Source organism: Homo sapiens, chromosome 6, assembly GCF_000001405.40.
Source record: "Homo sapiens chromosome 6, GRCh38.p14 Primary Assembly".
Classification (NCBI taxonomy): Eukaryota; Metazoa; Chordata; class Mammalia; order Primates; family Hominidae; genus Homo; species Homo sapiens.
Window position 1 is genome coordinate 83,582,671 of NC_000006.12, and position 24,159 is coordinate 83,606,829.

The 24,159-nt window shown below is 35.8% G+C and overlaps 1 protein-coding gene across 71 annotated transcripts in view; it reads right to left on the reverse strand.

Annotated features, from left to right (window-relative positions):
- The window catches only part of SNAP91 (synaptosome associated protein 91), a 156,509-nt gene that overhangs the window by 29,786 nt on the left and 102,564 nt on the right, over positions 1–24,159 (reverse strand). For 34 of the 71 annotated variants that reach the window (NR_164845.1, NM_001376695.1, NM_001376685.1 and 31 more), the window contains 9 exons: positions 23,015–23,133; positions 18,915–18,929; positions 18,601–18,768; positions 11,704–11,811; positions 10,808–11,071; positions 10,512–10,589; positions 10,276–10,347; positions 9,785–9,868; positions 8,541–8,624 (listed from right to left, as the gene is read on the reverse strand). Coding sequence is in view for 67 of the 71 variants with exons in the window: in NM_001376695.1 (NP_001363624.1) it covers positions 8,541–8,624; positions 9,785–9,868; positions 10,276–10,347; positions 10,512–10,589; positions 10,808–11,071; positions 11,704–11,811; positions 18,601–18,768; positions 18,915–18,929; positions 23,015–23,133 (992 nt within the window). In the remaining 4 variants the exon portion in view is untranslated. Of the gene's footprint in view, positions 1–8,540; positions 8,625–9,784; positions 9,869–10,275; positions 10,398–10,511; positions 10,590–10,807; positions 11,072–11,703; positions 11,812–12,439; positions 14,654–18,600; positions 18,769–18,914; positions 18,930–23,014; positions 23,134–24,159 lie in introns of those variants that run through there. The other 37 variants (NR_164844.1, NM_001376702.1, NM_001376703.1 and 34 more) reach the window with 14 other exon arrangements.

Sequence of the window (24,159 nt, forward strand, 5' to 3'; positions counted from 1 at the left end):
AATTCAGACAGTCTCATTACATTGAAATTTTATGTTTCTTCAAATCATAATATCCGGTTTCTAGAAAATGTTTACTGCAAATTATAATAAAATGCAAAACAAATCATAAAAATACATATCAAATCTTTAACATCTATCATACATGTTCTAGCCCCACTGCTGTTACCACCAGTGCAGGCCCCCGCAACCCTGCTCTCTGGATTCATGAACAGTCACGGAGTGGGATGGCATCCTGTCTCTAGTCTAGATCTCCTCCAATCTAGTCTTCACAGTGCAGCCAGAATGATCTTTCCAAGTGGAAAATGTTGACAAAGTTACTTCTCCAAAATCTTCTATCAGCTTCCCATCATTTTTCAGTTCATATAATTTGAATTCCTTCGTGTAGTGATCAGGTCCTTCTGTCTCTACTCACTGGCCCCTGCAGCAAAGCAGGCTGCAGCTGTGATCCGCCACTCGCAGTGTCAGATGCCTGCTCTGGGAGGACTTCCTTGCCCTCACACTGCTACCCACTACCAGCTGCACCCCACCCACATCCCCATATACATGCCGAGTATCCTCAGCACCTGGTACATGGCCCCCTGCTACTCTCATTACATGTATCTATCCCCACTGCCCCGACTCCAACCCCAGATGGCTTTTTGAGGCCAGGAACTGTGTCTTCTTTTCATGTTTTTTCCACTAATATCCTGCACAGTGCCTAAAACACTGAATTAATGTTTATTAAATGAAGGACACTTTTGAATATAAAAGGTGAGGACAAATCAAAGACTACTGTAAAGTAATCCAACCTCAGATTAAGTATTTATCCTTTGACGGCTGGAAGCAAAACATTTCTCTCAATCAACAGACAGAAACAGAAGCAGAGATCACTCTGCATTGCTACTGAACAAAAATATACAGCCTCTGAAGGAAGTGATTTCTTAACAAGACACTGGATGATATTCTATTATAAAAGAATTTATTACTACCAGAAGTCATTCCTACATAAAGTTTAAGTATATATTCCTTTCAAATCCAGCCACATTGTCTCTTCTTCACAAACTGCTTGCAAAAACAATGTTTCAAAAAACATCCTTAAGTTTACGTTCCATAGAATCGATTTATAATTTTGAAAGTGATTTCCACTAAAATTATCTACTATTTTCTAAAGCAGGTGGCAATGCTGTTTGAGTTATGTTATTCCTAGAAATTGACAGTGATGTGGGTTTAGGCTTTCCTCATATGTGTATGAAAAAATTTTAATTTGGAAAAAAGTTTTTTATTAGATGATCTTTACAGTTCATGATGGCTACTTTAAGTGATTTTAGTATTTGAATGGCATAAGTATCATATAACTTTCTTTACTGAAGAAGACGTTCTCTAAATCAGTAAGAGCTTATCCCAGCCAAGGTAGGTTAAAAGTAATTATTTTTGTGAATGTGACCATTTTGATTTTAGGAAGATTGGTGGCTGTATTAATGTTGATTTTTAAAAAACATTACCCCGTACCTCAAGTTGGAATTTGTCTGGTAAATTTAGGCAACTGTTCTATGTTGTGATTCTCTTTCTATAGGTGAATGTGGAGAAAACTTGACTCTTGACTTCTTAAAACTTGGCCATGGAAAGGACAATTTATTTTAGAATCACAGCATATTAGTGATGGAAAGGGCCTCAGGATCATCTGATTCCTTCCTGTCATCTCATGGCTAGAAGAAATGACTCAAAGAGAAGTTAACACACTGGTAAGATTCAGTAAAAAGAGGAAAAAGAGTGCATTTACCTAGGACACTCTGCTTAGTGCTATTTCTACTTTATGCTAAGATCACATCTATAGGTGAATAAATAAAGCTGTTCACTGAAAAAAAAAAATAGTGCCTTCTCTAAGAAAATTAAAGGTAAGCCAACATTGGCCCAGGGCTCACCAAGTGCCAGGCACTGTTCTAGGTTTCCTTTTTTAGGGTGAACCCTATGAACGACACGAATGGCTGATATTTGACTGTTTTGATCCTAGAAAATCAGCAGTTTTAAATGGTTCAATCTAAAACACACATTAGCTTATCTAATCCTTATAACAACCCCATGAGGTTCAAAGATGAGAAAGCTGAGGTCAGAGATGTTAGATAATTTGTCTAAGGTCATATGAAAGCAAATGGCAGATCCAGGATTCCAAACAGGAATTCTCCAGAGTCTGGATTCTTTGCCACTGTACCACACAGCCTCTTTCTCACATCCAGAAAAAATGCTGTAGTGGTAACCTTCCCATACATTTATAAAATTGTCGAGATCTGGCAGGATGACTTTTTCCCATTATACTCGGTTCTTATGAAGTAAGTGCCCTCACAAGCCTAGAATAATTAAACAGCTATTAAGTGATATAAAAGGACCAACTGATTATCTCAAAAAAATAATTGCTATAATGAAGAACTAAACAGGAACATTACAGTCATTCATGAGGCATTTGAGGAATTCCTCCTGGTAACTAACTGAAAAGTTTTAGGGCCCTGGAATAGAGTTAATAGGAAAACCTAAACAACTAATCTTTCTATGTGGTTCTAATTTACATTAAGAAAGACGTTTAGCTGGGTATGGTGGTTCATGCCAGTAATCTCAGCATTTGGGGAGGCTGTGGCAGAAGGATCACTTGAAGCCAGGAGTTTGAGACCAGCTTGGTCAATATAGCGAGACCTCATTTTTATATATCTATCTATATATATCAATATATATAAATTAGCCAGGGGGCATGATGGCATGTGCCTGCAGTCCCAGCTGCTCAGGAGGCTGAAGTGGGAGGATTGCTTTAGCTCATCAGTTCAAGGCTGCAGTGAGCTATGTTCACACCAATGCCCTCCAGCCTATGCAACAGAGGGTGACCTTGTTGCTTAAAAAAAAAAAAAAAAGAAAGGTGCTCTATGGAATGGAATTGGAAACAGAGTAAGGCTTTTGTGCATCCTGTAATCATATTTGAACTGTCCTACACTATAACTGAAGAGCCAACTGTTTTCAGGTACTCAACCATCTGTTGATACACTGCTTTTTAATCACAGATGATTAGTCTTATGAATGTGTTATTCTAAAGGGGAGTAGCCCACACTCTTAATGAAGTTCTATTGATTCAGATATATCAAGTCTGACTGTCATAGTCTACATAGTCTATCTAACACATCATATTGTTTCAGTTGCAGGAGTACAATTTTTTTTTCTTTCTTTTTTTTTTTTTTTTGAGATGGAGTCTCGCTCTGTCACCAGGCTGGAGTGCAATGGCGCCATCTTGGCTCACTGCAATCTCTGCCTCCTGGGTTCAAGCCATTCTCCTGCCTCAGCCTCCCAAGTAGCTGGGATTACAGCGTGTGTCACTACACCCAGCTAATTTTTGTATTTTTAGTAGAGATGGGGTTTCACCATGTTGGCCAGGATGGTCTCGATCTCCTGACCTTGTGATCTGCCCGCCTCGGCCTCACAAAGTGCTGGGATTATATAGGCATGAGCCACCGTGCCCGGCCACAAGAGTGCAATTTTAAAACTACTGCTAAAGACACTTCCACACAGGATGATAGAATTGATCCTCTGTAGACTTTTACCTTTTATAGGAAATTGTTACTTTTTAATGCCACACTGGGCATGTTTGTATTTTAAATTCAGTTCAAGGACTTCTGTGGCTCATTTTAAGCAATTAATGTGGTTAAGAGAACAAATGCAAAACTACAAAGGGCCTCATAGGCTGGACCATATAGTCCCTTGTCTTTGCAATTAAAGATAGGATGTGAAATTCTCTTATACTAGTACAGATTTATAGTGCAGTCACCCTAAAATTGTGTCTATGATGGAAAAACATGGTTGTCCTGCTCGATGCCAACCTCAGATGTTAGGCATATTCCTCAACACACCTAACTTCCTTAACAGTCCATTTTTACCTTTGTCATCCAGTAGTCTGCCTCTAGCTTTCAAACATCTGTATTTTCAGTTGGTATATTTTGAGCAGAGTTTGACAGCTTTACTCTTCACTGTATGAAATATTTACTTTTATTATTTAAAAACTTAACTTTCAAGTTTTCATTCAGATGTTACCTGAGATATGGATAATATCTGTATCCTACCAGTAATCTCAATGGCTTGGAAAGAATTACTCATTGTTGTTATGGATTCTCCCCTCTGCTTCCCCCCACCCCCATTATTCCTTCCTTTCTTCATTATTTTGATAATGATTTTTCTAGTCTGGCCTCTTTGGAAGTTGTCCTCTCCAGAATTTTTTATCATTTCACTATACTGCATGCACCAAACACCTTAAAATTTTTACTCAAGGGGTAGAAGACGACTAAGGCAATATTTCAAGTGCTGTTTAATTCTGGAATTGGTATTATCTGACAGTTCTAAAACTGAATTTGAATAAAGAAGAATAGTTTTTATGATAGATAGGTTCATTTTCAAGACTATCTAGTTAGTCTTTGTTTTCAAGTTTCAAAATGATACCAATTTTTAACAAAGCTTTCGCCTCAATTTTAAAATGGTTCTTAATGTTTAGTTTAAAATCTCTAAAATCATTTTAAAATTTAATTATATCATATATTTATTGCCTTATCTTTATGATTCACATGTAAATGTATTCACTCAAAAAAATCTAATCTTAGGCATGGGGTAAGAGTCCTTAGTCCAGTGACCAAGGTTCCCTTTGAACAGTCTAAACCTCCCATGACAGTGTCTGCATATTATTTTTCTTTTTCATTCTTTCTCAAAACAGTTTTATTACTAAAGGCAATCACAGGATTCTAGAGAATCTTTTTCTCTCTTCTCTCTCTTTGATTCTGATCATATTTGTGGGCTTGCTATGTATGACTAGGCTCATTTATTTATTTTTTTTTAAAAATCTTCTTAGTTTCAATAGACTGTGGACTTAGCTGATCCCTCCCCCAAATAAACACAGACACAACTATAATACAAATGCTAAGCTTCACTGCAAATTACTACACACAGTGCCCCAAATATTTGTCCTACTTAATATGCATTAAATAAAAATGTACGAGAATTGTGAAAACTCAGAAACAGCCAATTGTCAGCTAGGTTACAAATATAAATGTGACTGTGGTTTTATATTGCGTTTATTAGCAGAATTTTTTTCATTTTTTATTTTTTTGTTTTTGGCTAGGAAAGTTGCTCCTAGTTCACAGGATAGAATTATATTAATATTCCATGATGTTCTTTAGTGAGAATATGACTTCCTTATGCTTTGATACTTGAACAAGCGTGAGAAATATTTTTCTATAAGAAAACAGGGAAGTATGAAAAATTAGCCCCCAAAATTAAGCCCTATGGAAATTAAAAGTTAAAATTTCTTATGCTAGCTTATTTTTGTTTTTTGTTTTCAGTAGAGATTAGGGTTTCACCATGTTGGCCAGGCTGGCTCAAACTCCTGACTTCAAGTGATCCTGCCCATCTGGGCCTCCCAAAGTGGTGGGATTATGATTGTGGGACACTGCATCCAACCCCTTATATCAGGATATAAGGTGAAATAATATTTCACATTGTGCCAAATAAATCAGGCACTGACATATGTATACATTAAATTACAAGAACTGTTTTGAAAGCAAATGAGACATTAAACTCATCTATACTGATTTACATTGAATATTAATTTATTTAAATAGAAAAGAGAGAAATAAGAAAGTGTACACAATATATAACTTTGCCTATCACTGAAAGAGTCACAAGAAGATGCAGTAGAAGAAATGGAAAGTGTGTAGTAAATGAGACCTATGTAGATGACATTGGGTACTTTCATTGATGATTTTCTCCTCTTTTCTACCCCATTTTAATAAGATTTCAGAATAGACAACACAATTGAATAATTTTATTTTTTGTAAAGTGAACTAACATACTTTTTTTGTAGACTTCCCCTGCTGGACCTGTCCATATACCAAGCTGTGCAGCTGTGGCACAGGTATGTGCAGTTACACCTGGCAGCAGGTGACAAACCCCTTCAGGCTTGTTCTAGATGTGTTTTTAGATTCTTATTGCATCCCCCAGGGTCAAATCTCTTGGCTCTGTTACTGACTTCTAACTTGGAATTGGATGGGAACACTCCCTTTTCCCACAGGAAAAGGCCTTTCAGCTCCAGTTTCTAGTGTTCTGGGCTCTTTGAGAAACACAATATCTCAGGTTCTAGCCTTGGAGGACACAGAGAGGCCACAATGGAGGAGGATCCTGGAGTAGACAATGTGGCTGTGTAGCACTGGAGGTGGTCAACAGTGGCTGACCGCTCTGCCAGGCTACTGTCTGGTAGGCTTCAAATTCCCATTTGAGATCTGTGGCAGGGGATGGGATACCCAGGAGAGAAAGAAAGAATTCATAGGCTTCTGTGAAAGGCCAGAATATTTGATTTTATGGGCCGTTTTAATCTTAATTATAACTTCAAAGCAAAATGTTTGTAATCACTAATCTCATTTTAAAGTTAACAAGGTCATGATCCCTCAAATAGCCATTAAAACTATGCTATTTCTGTGGCATGTTAAAATCTTATTGCTGAACCCCCAAAATGTGTATGAAGTTTATTGGTTTAGTAAGAGTTTGAAAGTTTCTGTAGCCAATTGGAAGCTGATATAAGAATATCTAGGCCTGGATAAAAGCCAGGCAAACTAGCAGTTTATTTCTCCAAGTAACCAGCTGTGGTTTGTGTTAAGTGTACTGCCTCTTATCATCTCTGCAACTTCCAAATATTCCATGATGTTCTTTAGTGAGAATATGATTTCCTTATGTTTTGATACTTGAACAAGGGTGAGAAATATTTTTCTATAACAAAACAGGGAAGTATGAAAAATTAGCCCCCAAAATTAAGCCCTACGGAAATTAAAAGTAAGTTAAAATTTCTTATGCTAGCTTCTCAGCATAAGTTCTCAGCAATATCATGGTGGGGCCCTGGTTCTTCAGTGCTGAGGAAAATACCTAGTGGTAGTCACTGGTATGAGTGGTTTCAGCATGCAAGACTGTTATGTTTGATCATAGTAGTCAGGAAAGGATGGGAAAGACACTAGAGAACTATTGCCCCTGGGAAAGACTGTTAAATAGCCAGTCTGAATTACTGATGGAAGGAAAGGTTAACAGCTGGGCTACGACTACCTGCTTTAGCTTCCTGAGGAAAGATTTGACCTCAACTCAAACTCCCTACAACTCTGAAGGCTGATGAGGGTCTTTTAGCATCTGCCATTACTCACCACTAATCCAAGAATAAATGTTCCTCAGCTTGCTGTACCTGGTGCCAGGATTGTTTATTGTATAACTTGTAATTTTATGGGCTATATCCACACTAAAAAAGGGAACTATTCATATGCTTTATCAAGGTCTACATGGCTAGCACTAGCACGGTATTTAAGATGCAAGACTTCAGACATGCATGGCAGCTTCCCAGTGGTGATGTGACCCATGCTCTCGTCAGCCCCTTGTCAACCTTAGGACCAAAATTCAACCCTTGTGGTGACTGTGGAGGGGCCTCAGAAGCTGCATCTGAGTGACTGAGTCCTCTGTGAAACTACTGTTGTGCTTCCTGTTATGTACCTGTCTAAGTAAAATCAGAGTAAGGTAAGCCAACAATGTCTTGTGAGTTTGACTAATAATCTGAACTTAAACTTACTACTGTGGTCTTGCAACTGGTCTTTCATAATGCTTTGCTTATGAAAATAATAATTTCTAGGTCAAGGCTATCACTAAGCACACACTTTGTCTTGCTCCCAAGGAAGACCAATACTTGGCTTTTACTATTTTTGAGTCCTTGAACTGTTTCCTTTTATTCTATATATACTACTTGGGCCACAAGCAGTAATCCAAGGCAAACTGTACCAATCTATTTCACACTATGACCCTGTTGAGCTGAGATCACCCCATGAGTTTTCACATAGAAAAATGATCAGCTTGTTAAAAAAAAAAACAAAAAACAAAAACAGTGGTCTATGTAATAGCAGTTTTGACCCAATGGTAGGAGTCTGTAACAGTTTCTCTTGGAGTGATTCATATATTACGAAATCTATTTTCAAACATCATGGTACATTTCCCCACAACTTCCTTTAAAAAAAGATGGGCATAGACATTACAAGACAAAAATTGTTACATAAGCACATTACCCTTTAAATAATTTAAAGGAAACATGTTGGCTGAAAATAAGGCAGATTTGGAGCATACAAGAAGCCACAAAGGTGGCTTGTATACAGCTGCAACTTTAAGACCCTGAGAAATAATCAAACTTCTATCGTACAATGACTGAATTTTCAATTTCATGTCTTTTAAAATTATTTTTTAAAAACAATTTCAATTTTGTTTTAGATTTGGGGGGGCAAGTACAGATTTGTTACATGGGTGTACTATGAGATGCTGAAGTTTGGGGTATGATTGATCCTGTCACCCAAGTAATAAGCATAGTACCCAACAGTCAGTTTTTCAATACTTGTCCCCTCCCTCAATTTTATGTCTTGAAAGAAAAAGAAAACATGCACCCTGCAATTTATGTAATTTTTATAATTGTTACTTATAAAAATATATCCAAATTTAACTTCTACAAAATACCATTTTAATTTAATTACCAGCTAGTAGGTCTGCCGATGCTGATGAACTAGAAGCAGCCTGAGATGCAGGTTGGGGTTCAGAAGCACTACTTCCAAATGCATCTATCCGTTATCCATTGTGCAGCGGAAAAGTAAGAAAGTGTAAAAAGTAAGTACAGTAAGTAATTTAAGTATTATGTAGAGAAATGCAGAGACATGACAGTGTACAGTGAGCTTGTCTTTTGTGGGTGTGTGAAATGATCACATGAATTGAATTATGCTCTGACCGGTTTATTCTCTCAAAAAGAGTTCTAAAATATTAACAAGTAATACCTCTTTGTAAGATTAAGGGAATTCTTTTTTTTTTCTAAGAATAAAATTTTTGGACTAAACCTTGTCATCTGTCAAAACAGAAGCAAGGTTTTAAACTTTTTACCTAAAGGTAATAAAACAGAATTTTTCCATTTAGAATTCTATTAAATGTTTAAAAAATTAATAAACTTAATTCAAGGAGCAGCAATATGATTTGTACCTACATGTCAAGGTTTAGTGTTTATCTGACACAAGTCTTGAGCCCCTAAATGTCAGACACTGCAACATCTTTGTATTCCTCATGTACGCATCATGGAATGTCCATGATGCTTCAATGTACAGGAGGTACTCAATGTGGGTTAAGCTTTCTAAGGATAGTATTTAAGCTCAAGAGCTAATTCAGTACATCTTCCTGCCCTCAGATAACACATAAAGGAAGAGGGAAATATATTTAAATCAGCAACACATTTTCCAATCCTTCTAACTCTTTGTAAGGATAGCAAAACATTATAAATAAACCTACAGAATAATGTACAACATCTAGACTTATGCTTTCAGTTTTAACTGGCTTGTTTTCATTTCTAAATTATCTATTAATAGGTCATGTTTATTTGGCTTTTAAGAACTTAGAGATGTTGATTTAGCCAACAGATCAGGATCACCAAGGAAGAACAGTTGAAGGAAATTCCAGTCAGGTAATTCTACATTAGGATGAAGAACAAAAAGTTGAAAACACCAAGTGAAAAATTATGTGTTTTGTTAGGTCATGCACTGAAAGTTATGATGAAATGATGAGGATGAAGATGATGATGACGAAGAAATGAAAATGATCTTAAAAACTTAAGTTTACATTTAAGAGACAGAATTTTATATAGCCTAAAGAAAAAATGATGAAATATAATAAAATAGATTTAAAAATTATTCTGAAGAAAAAAAGATTCCTTAAGTGTTGATGGAGGAGAAATACGCACCCCCAAAAAGGTCTATGACACCTGAAGAATCCACCTTTGCTGGCGAGGCAGTGGTTGCAGGAGATGGTGCTGCAAATGCATCCACTGCAGTGAAGCACAGACAGGAAAAAGTGCATGTCACCCAAGGGAAAAGAAAACCATGAGCCTTGACAAATGGCATCTTGGGATTTCATGGTTCACTCCAGGCAGAAAGACTGTAGACAATCTTAACAGTTAAGGAAAAGCAAACGGGTTTTAAAATACACGCTCTCCAGAACAAAATAAAATTGACTCCTTGAGGTCAGAGGTTTCAGTGTGAAAAAAATTTTCACTAGCCTTAAATTTGAAATATTAACCCTCAACGGTTGATGATGGTCCCAAGAGTGAGTTTTTCTTTTGAAGTACATTTTAAATTTAAAAGAACTCAAGAAAAACCCACATGTTATATCCTTCTCTCTATGCATTACTTCCACAAGACATCTCTGAAGTCCTGACCTTGGCAAAGCACTCACCAGATAAGAGGTCAGCAGTGAGAGAACTCTCAGGCACAGGAGAGGCCCCTTGTGGTGGAGAGGAGAAAGCATCTTCCAAAAGTGAAACAAACCAAAACCAAGCAGAGGTAAGTAGTAGAAAGCTGAAATCAAAGTCAAAAATCTAACAAATGCATTATCACAGGTGAGTACAAAGAGCTTAATCAGGAAAACATCTAAGAAACTAAAGTGAAAAAAAAGGGTTGCTTTGGTTTTACCTGTACTAAACAGGTCTATGCTAGGAGCAGCATCTGGCTTAGGCGCTGCAGCAACTTCAGGAGTGGACTCAAATAAATCTAAGACCAAGAACACACATGCCTTTACTCAACTTGAACAATAAGCCTGACACAGCATCACTTCCCAGTCCTTAATTAGCACTTTGAAGAACTCTGAATTAAGCAGCAAATGGTTTCTAGAGAACCATTTAATTACACAGTCTTCATGCAGTACATCTCAAGGATCAGAATTCAATCCACTAGACGGAAAGAGGTCGACAACAATAACAAAAAATTACCACCAAAGATATCTAGAGCAGGAGGAGCAGTGGTGGCGGTGGCAGCGGAGGTGGTGGTAGTGGTGGTGGCAGCGGCGGTGGCAGCAGTAGTGGCAGCAGCAGCAGCTGCAACGGCAGGAGCAGGAGAAGGAGCAGTTGCGGGAACTGGAGGGGCTGTGCTAGCTGTAGGGGTAACTACAGGAACACTGGTCTCAGGTGGCTTCATTGCAAAGAGGTCCAGCTCAGGTGCAGCCTCTGCACTACCTTCAGACGGGGCAAAGGGGTCTTTTGGAAAGGAAAGTGGAGACACACACAGCATCAGTAAGGAAAGAGACAAGAGACAGCATCATAACTATGGCAAGAGACACCTTATACAGATATTTACACACTAGCTAGGTGTGAGGCTCCTTGGATTTAACTACTATCCTACTGGCAGGGGTTAGTGATTAGGATGTTTTTCTAAAGAAAAAGGAAAACTTAGTAGGTACCACAAGTTAGCAAACTAAAGCATTTTGCAAAGTGCCGTAAGATTAACCTACAGTCTAGGATCAGAGATTGCTATCCTTCAAATCTTCACTTTATTTGGTCAATCTGGTAGCTTTGAAAATTCATTAAAACATGCCAATATATTTGAACTCAATGTTACAAAAGAGTACAATATAGCATTAGAAAAAAAAACATTAAGACAGCATACTTGCACTGACAAAAATTGTCAATCTTAAGAAATTGTCAATTTTGATAAGTATGTACTTCATTGTCTTAATGTTTTAAATGCTGGCATTATTTATTTAGTTATGATGAATGATACTTTACACTCAGAAGAAAGTAAAATTAGAAAAACATATGGCCTCTTCTAACTACGGGGGTTTTACATTAGGACAGAAGAATAACAGACTGGCTAATGACTTTAAACCCACCATTTCCTGAACATGCATCAAGTGCTGCTGCTACAGGGGTTGGGGTAGCTGGTGCGGCGGCCCCTTCGGATGCTGCAGGGGCCTCCCCAGGAGAAGCTGCAAAGGCATCTTGGGTGCGGTTTTTAAAACAGCAGAAATTAAAAGAATAAAAAGAGAAGAAAATACAGTAAAAGAACCAAGTTAAATTGTGAAGAAGGCTCCCTTATACAACATGAATTTTTAAAAATGCATTTTTATGGCCCATGCGCTGTCGGTGGTCACAAAACAATTATTCTTTGCACACCTTCATGTTAGTTAACATGCAAGTGATACAATGTTGATACTGCTGAGGCCTAATAGGATCCAAAAGGTAATGAGATTCTCATTGTATAAGGGCTCTGAGAAGCATGTTTTATGTATCATTAGAAATTAATGGATGTAAAAATTAAAACAAAAAATATTTTTATTATGTAATTTAAGACATTAAACTTTCATGTCCAGGTAACACTGATTCACTGTTATTAAAATGTCCCTGTCTCATAGTTTCTAGCAAACATAATATCTTCTTTAATGCCAATAAAATTAAATATACAATGGCAATGTAAATAATTCTAGTTTTAAGATTTTTTATAATCTAGTACAGGCAAAATTACAGTGTTAACATGAAAGGTTTACTAAGCATTCCTAAGTGTTAAGTCTTCACTATCCCTGAAAAGCATTTTCAAACATAACCAATAATTTTACTAAGGTTTACTAAGCATTCCTAAGTGTTAAGTTTACTAAGGTTTACTAAGTATGAGAGTATGAAACACTCTTACTAAGTTTACTAAGCATTCCTAAGTGTTAAGTCTTCACTATCCTTGAAAAGCATTTTCAAACATAACCAATAAGTTATTTTAAAGACATAAAGAGATAAAAATAGGGTATGATACCATAATGCAATTATATTTTTCTAGTTATTTGGAAAATAATCTATTTTCAACAGGTTAAAACAATATTTTCACATTTTAAGACTATAAGTGTATTATTATTTATAGAATATCATTAACATACGAGCAGCCACAGTTTATAAATGCCCATTTTACAAATGGCTGATGTGTACAGATGCTTCCCAGTGTGTTTCTACCAACAATGTTAGTTAAGGTAAGAAGTCTTTGAGCTTGCATAGAGATGCTATAGTTTCAAAAGTACAGAAGGAATCAAGCCATGATAAACATGACAGGCTTAGGAGAAGAAAACCCTGGAGAGTGGAGACCAGCACCCACCTAGAACCTGTCACTTACCTGCTAGACTTTCCATCCCCAAATACTGTCTTCCGCAATATCTACTCATGTTTCCTGGAACACTGTTCCTTCAGTCATGAAAATAACATGTCATATATACTTGGGAAGGGCTACACAGTACATGCTCTTCCTTGGTGATTTACTTAGTATATTAGGCTCTAGGACATGCTACTGTCAAGATACTTGTTTCTCAGTTTGACCTGGCATGTCCCAAACTGAGTATGAAACACTCTTTAGTAATGCAGAGTTCTAGTTTTATGTGGAATAACAAACATTAAACTAGATACTTACTTGGGTTAAAAGGCCCTTTACCAAATCACAAATATCCCTTAGAAGGGACAACAGGACATCAGTTATTCATATCTTATGGATTAATCTGATCTGATTGTTCCTCTTTGTTATACTGAGGAAATATATGTTCAATTTATTTATTATTAGAGACAGAGTCTTGCTCTGTTGCCCAGGCTGGAGTGCAGTGGCAATATCATAGCTCACTATAGCTTTGAACTACTGGTCTCAAGTGAGCCTCTGGCCTCAGCCTCCTCACGGACTGGGATTACAGGCCTACAGCACTATGCCCAGCCAGGAATATAGGTTTTGAGTGTCAGGTCAGCTGAGAGGCCAAATAAATAAAACTAAAGAATGAAGAATACATCAAGGGATAGAGTAGGCCTACTTTCTAAATGCCATGTTAAAGATACTATACTTCAGGACTTAGAGCAACACACCCTCTACAAGCAGGGCAGAAGAATGTAAGAGAAGTATGAAAAGATGTTGGGAGGGCTGTAAATATTTTGCCATGAGTCAGGTCAGTTGTTTTATTTTTTTTTGGTTCCTATAAAATTTGGAACTGAGGCCAATAATATTGCAAAGAGTAGAAACACATAGCAGTCATATATATTGCCATTATTAAATTTATCTGTAACAATCTTGTGATTTAGGTTCTACTGTCTCCAGTCTGTAGATAACACAACCAAAGCTTAAAGCGTGTGTGTTCTCATCACAAACAATAAGTGAGGTAATGCATCTATGTTGATTAGCTCAATTAGCCATTCCACAATGTATACACACTTCAAAACATCATGTTGTACATTATATATATATGTATATACTTTTTCAATTAAAGATTTTTTTTTTAAAAAGTCTGATGACTAAAGTTACACAGCAAGAAAATGGCAGAGTTAGGATTTGGCTCAGAGCTGTCTGAGCTTTATGTGTTTAGCCACTGTACTGCATTTTTTATGAAATATGCCTCATTCTATTATATTACTCCCTTCTTTATAATTGAATAAACATCAGTTACATTAGTGCCAGGGATCAAATAGATATTTATGGGCTGACCCCTTTAGGTTATCACTTATGTGTAAGGAGATAAAGCCCATATTGTTATAGCTACATCCTTAGAAGAGGGTTTTAAAAAATCCCCTTGTCAGCAAGATATCTCCTTTTAATTCTTCTCTTGTTACTTGAAACTAAATATTATCAACTTAACTCATCTACACCTGTCAGAAATTTTCTTAAAGGTAGGAGCTGCAGCTGCTCCCACCCCCAGCTGTTTGAATCTTCCTAGCCCCGAAGGAGACATGAATGAGTGTCCAGATGGTACCAGGCCCAATCACTGTCTGACTGCAGCCACAAAAGAGACCTTGAGTGAGAACTGCCCAGCTGAGCTCAGTCAGCCACCAGAACTGTGAGAGATAAAATTTGAATTTGTTAAAAAATAAACAAAACTTTTTTAAATATCTAGTTTTTTTCATTATAAATGGCAGCATTATCTTTCCAGTATTGCAAACTAAAGTTATTTCCAGTTCAGCTCTCCTTTTCATGTTACCCATTTGCAGTTAATTTCTACATTCTGTCAGTTTTTCAACCAGCTCTATTTCCTAGAAATGCGTGCTCCTGCTGTTCTTCAATTATGGACTCAGTCTAGGCCTTAATCCATAAACTGAGCTGACTGCTGCAGACTAGTCTTTTTTCCCCTTCCAGCACTCTAAGACAGAATTTTCCTCTCAAACTTTTTATCATATGACTACCTCTCTCAAATCTAAGAGCTGTTGTTTCCCTCAGCCTGACCTATTCTCTCTCCCCATCTACTTTGGCCACATAAGCCATCTTAAATCACACACTCAGCACAAAGGTTCCAATTGTTCTCAACAGCCCAAATGTCACATTCTGGTTCCTCTTTGTCTCCAAAGGTCCCAGGTTATAAGGCTCTAACATGAAATCTAGTTGAAAGTGTTTAATTATTGGTTTTAAGGAAGGTTGGTTAACTTAGTTTTTTGACCAACATGTACCCAATGTGATCAGGCTTGTGAGGTAAGTTCTTTGGTTTTCCAGTCACTTTGGTTTAATGTTTGCAGACTACTAACCTTATGAAGGTTTGCTCACAAATTGACACATTTGATTGAAAGGGTATCCTTGTTGGTGTGCAGAGGAATTAGCATCAATTTAGCATTCTAGTATTTAGAAAAACCCTGTGTTGTTCAAATCAATGTGCTATTGTCAGTAAAATTTGCATCAGTATAAAAATAGGTTATTTTTAAGGATTTTGCCTTTTATTTTTGTCAATATTTATAAATTTTACTAAATTTTAAAGGCGTAACACTGCCCTTGCAATCCTGTTCTGCATGATCATAAAAAGAAGATCTCATTTCTTAAAAGTTCACTTTAAAAAATGAAGCATTTAATAAATGTAGCTGACAAAAATTTTTTAATGACTTACATGAACTACCTACATTGAAAGGACTAAAACATTACTTGTGTATCAATAAGAATATTTCTGTTAAAAATCACAAAAATTTACTATTTTTAAAATGTGTAATTTAAATATAGTACTAAAATACATTAACAGTTTTAATATTTGATAGGGATGAAATTAAATAGCCATCCTTCTGAAATTAAAATCCATTAAGCTTTATTTCTAAAGAAATCTACTTAGTTGCTGTACATATTGCATAGGACCTCAAAAAGGCATGTTTTAAAGTTGTAAAGTTATGCTGTGTTAAACAAAACATAACTGGTTTTCTGATTATTCTAGAGTTCTACCACTTACCCATTGTAGAGAGACAAAATATTTAAAAAATGGCCACACAAAATGGCCAAAGAGATTTTAGCTTAGGTTTTTATTAAAAATTAAATCTCTGAATAATTTCTTAAAAACCAATGAAGGCATGAAAGAAATTACAGAAAATCACTGAAAATCACAAAACAGATAATGACATATATAGACTCCTGAACATAAAGGATGGAAATTGTATAGCTATCAGAAGCCAGGAGACAATTTATAGAACTAAACAGATCAATAAAATAATTATGATGTGATTTTCAGATGTAATTGTCATTGTACACTCATTTCTCAGCCAGATGACTGGAAAGGATATTGATAAAATCACAAGAACAGTCTCATTCTTTGACATTAAGTTGCATGATTCTCTGCAGTACTCATCCTTTAAGCTTATATTTAAAGCTACAAAGAATGCCATCATGAAAATTTTCTAAACATACAGATTTTTCCACTTGATGAATATAGTCAAAACAGAAATAAATGACAAACAAAAACAGCATAATGGCATGAAGAATATTTCAAAGAAATATCTTAGTCTTTATTATTCTAGAGGGCTATGCAGGAAGTAAGATAGAGTTGATTGATTTCTTTGAGGTAATCAACTCCTTATAAGTGGACTGGAAACAAAAAATCTAAACAGCTAAGGCGTAGAAATGTTTCAGCACAAAATTATTATGCATCCTGTCCATATTTTCCTTACTTTTTTTCTGTTAACACAAGCCTATGAGAAACTACCCATAGCTACATCAATAACAGAGGGTGGGGGAAGGATAGATTTTAAATTAAAACATTTACTAAGTGTATTACCTATTATTATTATGGAACTTTCAAGCTAGAAGGACTTTAGAGATCTTCTAGACCAAGTTTCCAATTGTATAGATGGGAGAACTGAGGCCAAAGGAGGTCAAGAGGCTTACCTTTAGTCAGGCCTAAACAACTTTGACAAACTCTATTTACCACCTGATTTAGATTTGTGGAAGGAAGAGGAAGTTGATTTTATAAATGTAAGCTAAAATTTAAATTTTTGGTTTCAAAGGATATAGGGGCATAAATGAAAACCTAACCCTCTATAGTGGGTGGCTCTTTTTAATTTAATTTTATTTTTGAGACAGGGCCTTGCTCTTCACCTAGGCTAAAGTGCAGTGGCGTGATCAGGCTCACTGTAACCTCCACTTCCTGGGCTCAAGCAATCCTCCTGCCTCAGCCTCCCAAGTAGCTTGGACTACAGGTGCTTGCCACCACAACTGGCTAGCTTTTAATTATTTTGCAGAGACAAGGTCTCACTATATTGCCCAGGCTGGTCTCAAACTCCTGAGCTCAAGCAATTCTCCATCTTGGCCTCCCAAAGTACTAGTATTACAGATGTGAGCCACTGCGCCAGACCATGGGTGACTCTTTATTCAAGGGTCTGCAATCCTTTTTCTCCTACTCTTTTACAAACAGGTTTCTCCTGTTCCATAGGAATGGACAGCAAGGCAGCAGAAAATGTCTTTTGTGCAGCAGTGGCAACAAAGCTGTGTCTAGTGGAGTGCTCCTTGTCTTGGATGATGTTGGCCAACCTTAGAGACTGGAGCATGGCATGTAGCAGAGTGGTAGGTGACAGTGTGTTAAATGTATGTTCCCAGGGGTACATATTGATTACACCAAAGCCTGCCAAATCTCTCTTGCTTTCACCATTTTCTTCCTCCAATTTCTTTACCATATTCTCAAAATGCCCTAGGAAAGATGTTATATGGTAATGAAGATACACAAAACTATAATGACTATAACATCACTTGACGTATGTGTTTGATATGAGAACTTCTTTAGGTGTGGACATTGGTACCACACAGATGGGGATACATATATGAATAAACTGGCTTCACATGGCTCATCAGGTCCAGGCATATTATAGTGGGTCAGAATTTACATTTCCATGGAAAGCATATTTTTAGACAATCATTTCAAAGACTGACTTAAATCTGTTTTCAATCAGCCTTTCAAGTGCTGCTTCAGATGTTTTCTCAGAGTTCCAAAACCAAAGATGATCCAAGTTTTTATTTGGACAGAACAAACTTAAAGCTGTAAAAACAGGCACATCCCTTAACTCTCTTCAAAGGCTTCCAAACCTGAATTACTCTTAGATTATTTTTTGCCCTAAACATTAAGAAACAACTTAGGCCTGTGTTGCTCCTCCTACATTCCCCAAATATTCTCTGGGCTAGTTCTAATCTGGCCGAAAAGCTAAATAAACCTAAAGGTGACAGAGAGCTCTGGTACCACTTTTATACAGACACTGGAGAGCAGGAACCTAAAGGCAGGAGTTCTGAAGGTAGCAACATGAATTCTAATGTTAAAAAACGTGAAAATCAAATGGGCCTGATGCATTGCAATCTCTGCTATAAAATTACTAAAATTAAGTGAAGAGAAAGTTGATGAATTTAGTGAAGATAAATATACATGAATAAACATTGAAAAAGTACTTAAACACTCTGACATGCTGTTACATAACGGAAAAAATTTTAAAGACCTTAACTCCCAAGTAATTTTAGCAATCCTGAAAAAATGAAAGTAGCAGCGAGACTAACTAACCTCCAAAGAGATCCACTTCAGCAGTGACAGCAGTAACAGTTGTAGTAGTGGAGGCAGAAGCTGAGGCAGTTGCAATTTCAGCAGTTGTAGTAGGAGGGGTAGGTTCTGGTGCAAATGGATCTGAAATCTGTGCTTCAGAGGGAACAGAGGAAAGTGCAGCCAAAGAATCTATATTTCACCAGAGACAGAGAGCAAACGGAGAGAAGAAAAGCAAAGGACAAAAGATATACCAGACTCCAAATGATCAAAATAAGGACAGTTGTTACATACAGAAGTCTGTCAAAATGGAAGTTTAAAAACAAAGCTTTACTCACCCTCTCCCAAAAGGTCTACCGATGTCCATTACATGGCAGCATAAGAATAAATAAGAGCTAAAGTTGAAACATGCAACCATACCAATGTCCAAGCCAGATAAGGCACTAACTAAAAAAACCTTAGCTTTATGTGTCTTCTACACCATTTGCAATTAAAAAATAAATGTACTACCTATTATCATGGAACTTTTAAGCTAGAAGGGACCTAGAGATCCTCTAGACCAAGTTTCACCTTTAGACATGTACTTCAGATTTTATTAACAAGCAAATGGGTCACAAAACTACTTGTGCTGTAGCTAACCTTATACATGAAGATATCAGAGTCATATGATCACATAATATTGATTAGCTTTCAAATACATGTTGGTAGATAATTTTAATTCTAATAAATTCTGGCAGTAATCCCATGTTTCTCAAAAAAAGTAGAAATTTCACTTTAAGCATGTATAAAAAGAAACTGTTTTCCCATGTCTAAAATATACAGACACACAACACACACTTATTTGTGCTTCTGCAACATGAATTTACTATGAAGAAAATAAAAAACACTCTATTAGGGAGCCAAAGATGAGGATTTAAAAAATCCTCTGTATTCTTTCAGCCGATTGGGTTCATCACCAGCCTGTAGAAATGCCAAATCTTACATGCACAATTTAAATTAAATTTACTAAAATAAATTTGCTAAAATTTGGTTGCTTTACACCAACAGGAAAAAAAATGCTATCATTACAATGTGTCCCCTGAAATAAAAATGTGTGTTGGTACCTATAACCCCCAAGAAAAATTTAGAGACATTTGAAGTGGCTATGGTCCTTGGAAATGAGACCATCCAATTAGGCTTACAGAGTTTTACAGTTTATAATTTACTGCCTAGTTATACAGAATTCAAATATGCTTCAATAATAGAAGTGGCTTGATCTTATCAAACAAGATTGAGAAAACAATTTTATTTTTTTGCTTAGTCAAATAAACAAACACATATCTGTTACAATTTAGCATCACCTTCAACCATGACTGGGTATCCACCGGGCAAATTGTAGAAGTTTATTTCAATTTCTTAAAGTCTTATAATTTTTACTATTTTGCTTAGAAATTAGAGAATTTCTTTATTAGCATTTCCCCCCAAAGCTGACTTTTCTATTGCTATGAAATGTTGCAGTTGTAGATGTTTTGTTGCGGCAAAAGTGCTGTCTAATCATCAAAAGGTGAACATCAGGCCCTATAAGGTGCCTTTGTACTAATTATAAAAACGTACTCCCTGGGGCAAGGAGAAGGACAGCATTAGGACAAATGCATAATGCATGCGGGGCTTAAAACCTAGATAACTGGTTGATAGGTGCAGCAAACCACCATGGCACATGTATACCTATGTAACAAACATTCTGCATGTGTATCCCAGAACTTAAAGTTAAAAAAGAAAGAAATAAGAAAGTTTACATGGTTTTCACATATTTATCATTTTAAACAGGTTAAAGATAGTACCTTTCTTGGGTAAGTGTAGTGATGACCAGCATAGTACTTGTCACAGGAGCACTCAATCAATATTAGCTTTCATTGTAACTTGAGAGCTATCTTAGTTTTTATTGTAAAATTAATCTTATGTGTTTATCAAAAAAACTTTAACCTTATAGTCATTTAAAATAACTGAAAAAAGCATAAAAATATGCTTTTAAAATCAAACTACTATGGAAACTGCTTTACCCCAAATTTTGGCCCATTAGCTTACCTATTGGGACAACTGATGTTTAGCCATGTGAACAAGCCCCATTTTGTCAGAAATATAATTTGGATCCAACTGCCTTTTTGTGATTTTTTTTTCTTTATTTTTGAGAAAGGATCTCACTATGTTGCTCAGGCTGGACTCTTAACTACTGGGCTTAAGTGAGATTCTCATCTCAGCCTCCTCAGAAGCTACATGCATGAGCCACTGCACTCAGTTTTTTTAATCCAACTGTCTTTGGTAAATCAGTGAGTTCGTTTTACTGTCTTATGGCTAAAATTTGAAAATAAAATAAAAGCTATATTCTAAAATAAAAGCTATAATATCTTAAAAAGAAGAAAAAAAAAAGGTACTCCCTGTAGTGAGACAGATTAGAAAAAGTAAAGCATCTCTTTCTCAAGGATAATGAGAAAGGCTCACAGCGTGACTATAGAGTTCTGGCTGGATTTCAGCCCCCTTGCCCTGCCTTTGAGCAATGCATGATCTACATTGTCTGTATAGTACAGCCCTGGCTAAAACCATACTGCTCTGCTTTGTCTTTTTATGTCCAATGGTATGTTAATGTTTCAATCATCAATAGTTACATATTTCTAACTTTAAAGGCTAAAATGTATTCTAATAAAATTGGTTATTACAATCAATTCCTTACAATATTATGTGTCTTAGCAAAAAGTATTTAGAGATGAAAATGAATAAAAATGTTATATTGCAATTCAACAAAATTTCACCTTTTATTTTTTCCTTTTATTTGGCATTCTTTTAGTGCCAAAATTTTTTAAAAAAAGATAAAATTTATCTTCAGTTTCATGCCAGGGAATATGGAAAAGGGACTAGTTTACAGTTTCACTGTTTATTCATTAAAGTTCTAACAAAGACAATATGGTAATGAAAATAAATTATTAGCAAATTAAAATAATCAGTGATGAAGCTCAGAATAAAAACATGAGTAAAAAAGAATGCCCTTATAAAATCTCTTTAGCAATATTTTCCTTTACCAATAGAAATTTAATAAAGTTAAATAAAGCTGAGAGAACAATTTTATTTTAAAAATTGATAGCTGTAGCCTTAGGAGTTGAACATTTCAATATAGGATAAGGTTTACATATTTAAAATGGAAACGTGCCAACATTTTAAATGTTCTTATTTATAGTTAGCAACATTATTTCAGAACTGGTTATCTTTCTCTTATTTTTGTTACCAAAATAACTTGGAAATGAGATCAAGAGATTACAGATAGGACTTTTGATGTTATACTGACACACTGTTTAACAAGACCACCAAAGGACATTCAATTATTTAGAGAAATATAACTTCATTTGACTTAGTTATTATTGTGCACTAAAGGCTCTGATTCTCCAATGTTATGTTGTTACAGATCTTGTCTGCTAGTGATGCAAATAATCTCTGTATGGGAGAAAAGATAACCTCAAGGCTATGATTTTTATTACCCTATAGGTCATTAACAGCTTTCTATCTAACCTAGCCATCTTATTCTAACATTCCTTTTAAAATACCTATAAATACTCAGTTCCTCAAAATGTTCTTTGAGACAGCTTTATCATCTTGCTGGTTTCCTCATTAGTGAGTTACTAAGTCTTTTATTTCTGTTGCTCCTATAGTTGTACAAGGCATGTCTTAAACTTTTTGAAAATTTTATTCTGATAGTTTGGTACAGGAAGGCATGGTATTTAAAACCAACTCTTTGCAGCTTTGAGCATTATGAAGCAATTACTTTAATTTTTATATTAATATTAAATGTTTTAAATCAAATATTTATAAAAGGCTGATTTTTTTCCTGAGATCCATAAATAAAGTGGGAATCAAGTGCTTAGATGTGATTCCTCTCAGTCAATCAGTTTAAAGTATGGATTTTTCTGGTACAAATAAGAATCTGTAAAAAGATTTCAACTGTATGAAGTCAAATACAATGTGAATAAAATCAATTCAGGCCTAAAAGAATCCAGGAACGAGGCTACACCTGACCAAACCAAATTGGAAATGTTACCTTTGAGTAACCATAAATTAAGGGGAATACTCAATCCTCAAGGCCTGAGTCTCTAGAGAACAATTACTAAAAATAATCAGAATTTTAGAGTAGTAATAAAAAAGAACAACAAAAAACCCACAAAACTTCCTTGTTCCAACTGTTAAAATAAAAACTATATGACTATTTGAACATTCTCACTGTATTACAGGCACTTTCTCTGTCTCTCTCTCTCAATATATATTTCAATCAATAAATGCCATTCTTAACATTTTCCCTCCAAGTTTCTAATACCATTTTAGATAATCAAAAGGTAAATGTTAACAATTATAGCCTAAGTAAAAACAATGAAATAAAATGAATAGAGAAATGGCAAGGTTGTCTGGTTTTACTCACCTCCCCATGCAGTGGCTCCTCCAGCAGGTGGTGGTGGTGCTGGTGCTGCGGCTGCTGCTGCCCCTCCAGAGGAAAAGTCTGGCTGGAGGTCCAGGAGATCACTAGATGGTTTAGAAGTGCTGAAAGGAAAATAAAACATTAAAATCAGATTTTGAAATTTTATAACATAAAGGTGTTTTTGAATAAAGACATGCAGAAATCATCAAAGATTTTAGGTATTTTAAATCCAATAAAAGAATAATACTTTGGAAAGTATAGAGCTATAGCATATACCAAGAGTTGGCAAACTACTTTTGTCAAGGGCAAGATGGTAAGTATTTTAGACTTTGAGGGCCAGTTGGTCTCTATCATTACTTGACTCTGCTAATGTAGAATGAAATTAAGACATAGACAATACACAAACAAATCAACATGTCTTTGTTCAAATAAAACTTTATTTACAAAAACAGAGAGTGGGCTGGAGTTGATCTATGTGCAGCATTCTACAGGGAAATCAAAATCATAACCTTGAGGTTATCTTTTCTCTATTTCCTAAAATCTTTTGTATAGAAAAAAAATTCATGTCTTGAGAAGAATTTATTTATAAACCAAAGAACACTAAAGGGAATTATTAACCACTAATTTATCTTTTTCCTACGTTAGACTATAATATATCAAGTTTGCCTGTAAGAGGACTTACCTAAAACGACTACTGCATTTTTTATTTTTACTCAGTTGAGGCTGTGCTTTTCAAAGCTTCTCTGTCTGTAGAATCTCCAAGGAGCAGCCTTACTATTCAAAGTATAGGCCTCAAACTAGCAGCATCCTGGGATGTTTTTATAAATGCAAAATCTCAGGCATACCCTGTATCTACCACCTCAGAATCTTCATTTTAATAAGATGCCAAAGCAATTCACATGTACCTTCAGATTTGAGGAGCACTGGCTTAAAAGTTACCAGGCCAGGTGCCAAGCCATCAGGGTCCCAGGTTCCCCACCTGCCTTCATAAACAGCAGTTTCATCTTTATCTTTTTTTACATATTAGATTTCCAAGTAATATTCTTTTGAAGAAAGGATTCTGCTGCTTTTTAAAAAAAGTTTCAAAACCACTGAAACCATTGCTAGTTTTGATGTCCATTTCATAAATACAACTGGACTAAATACCA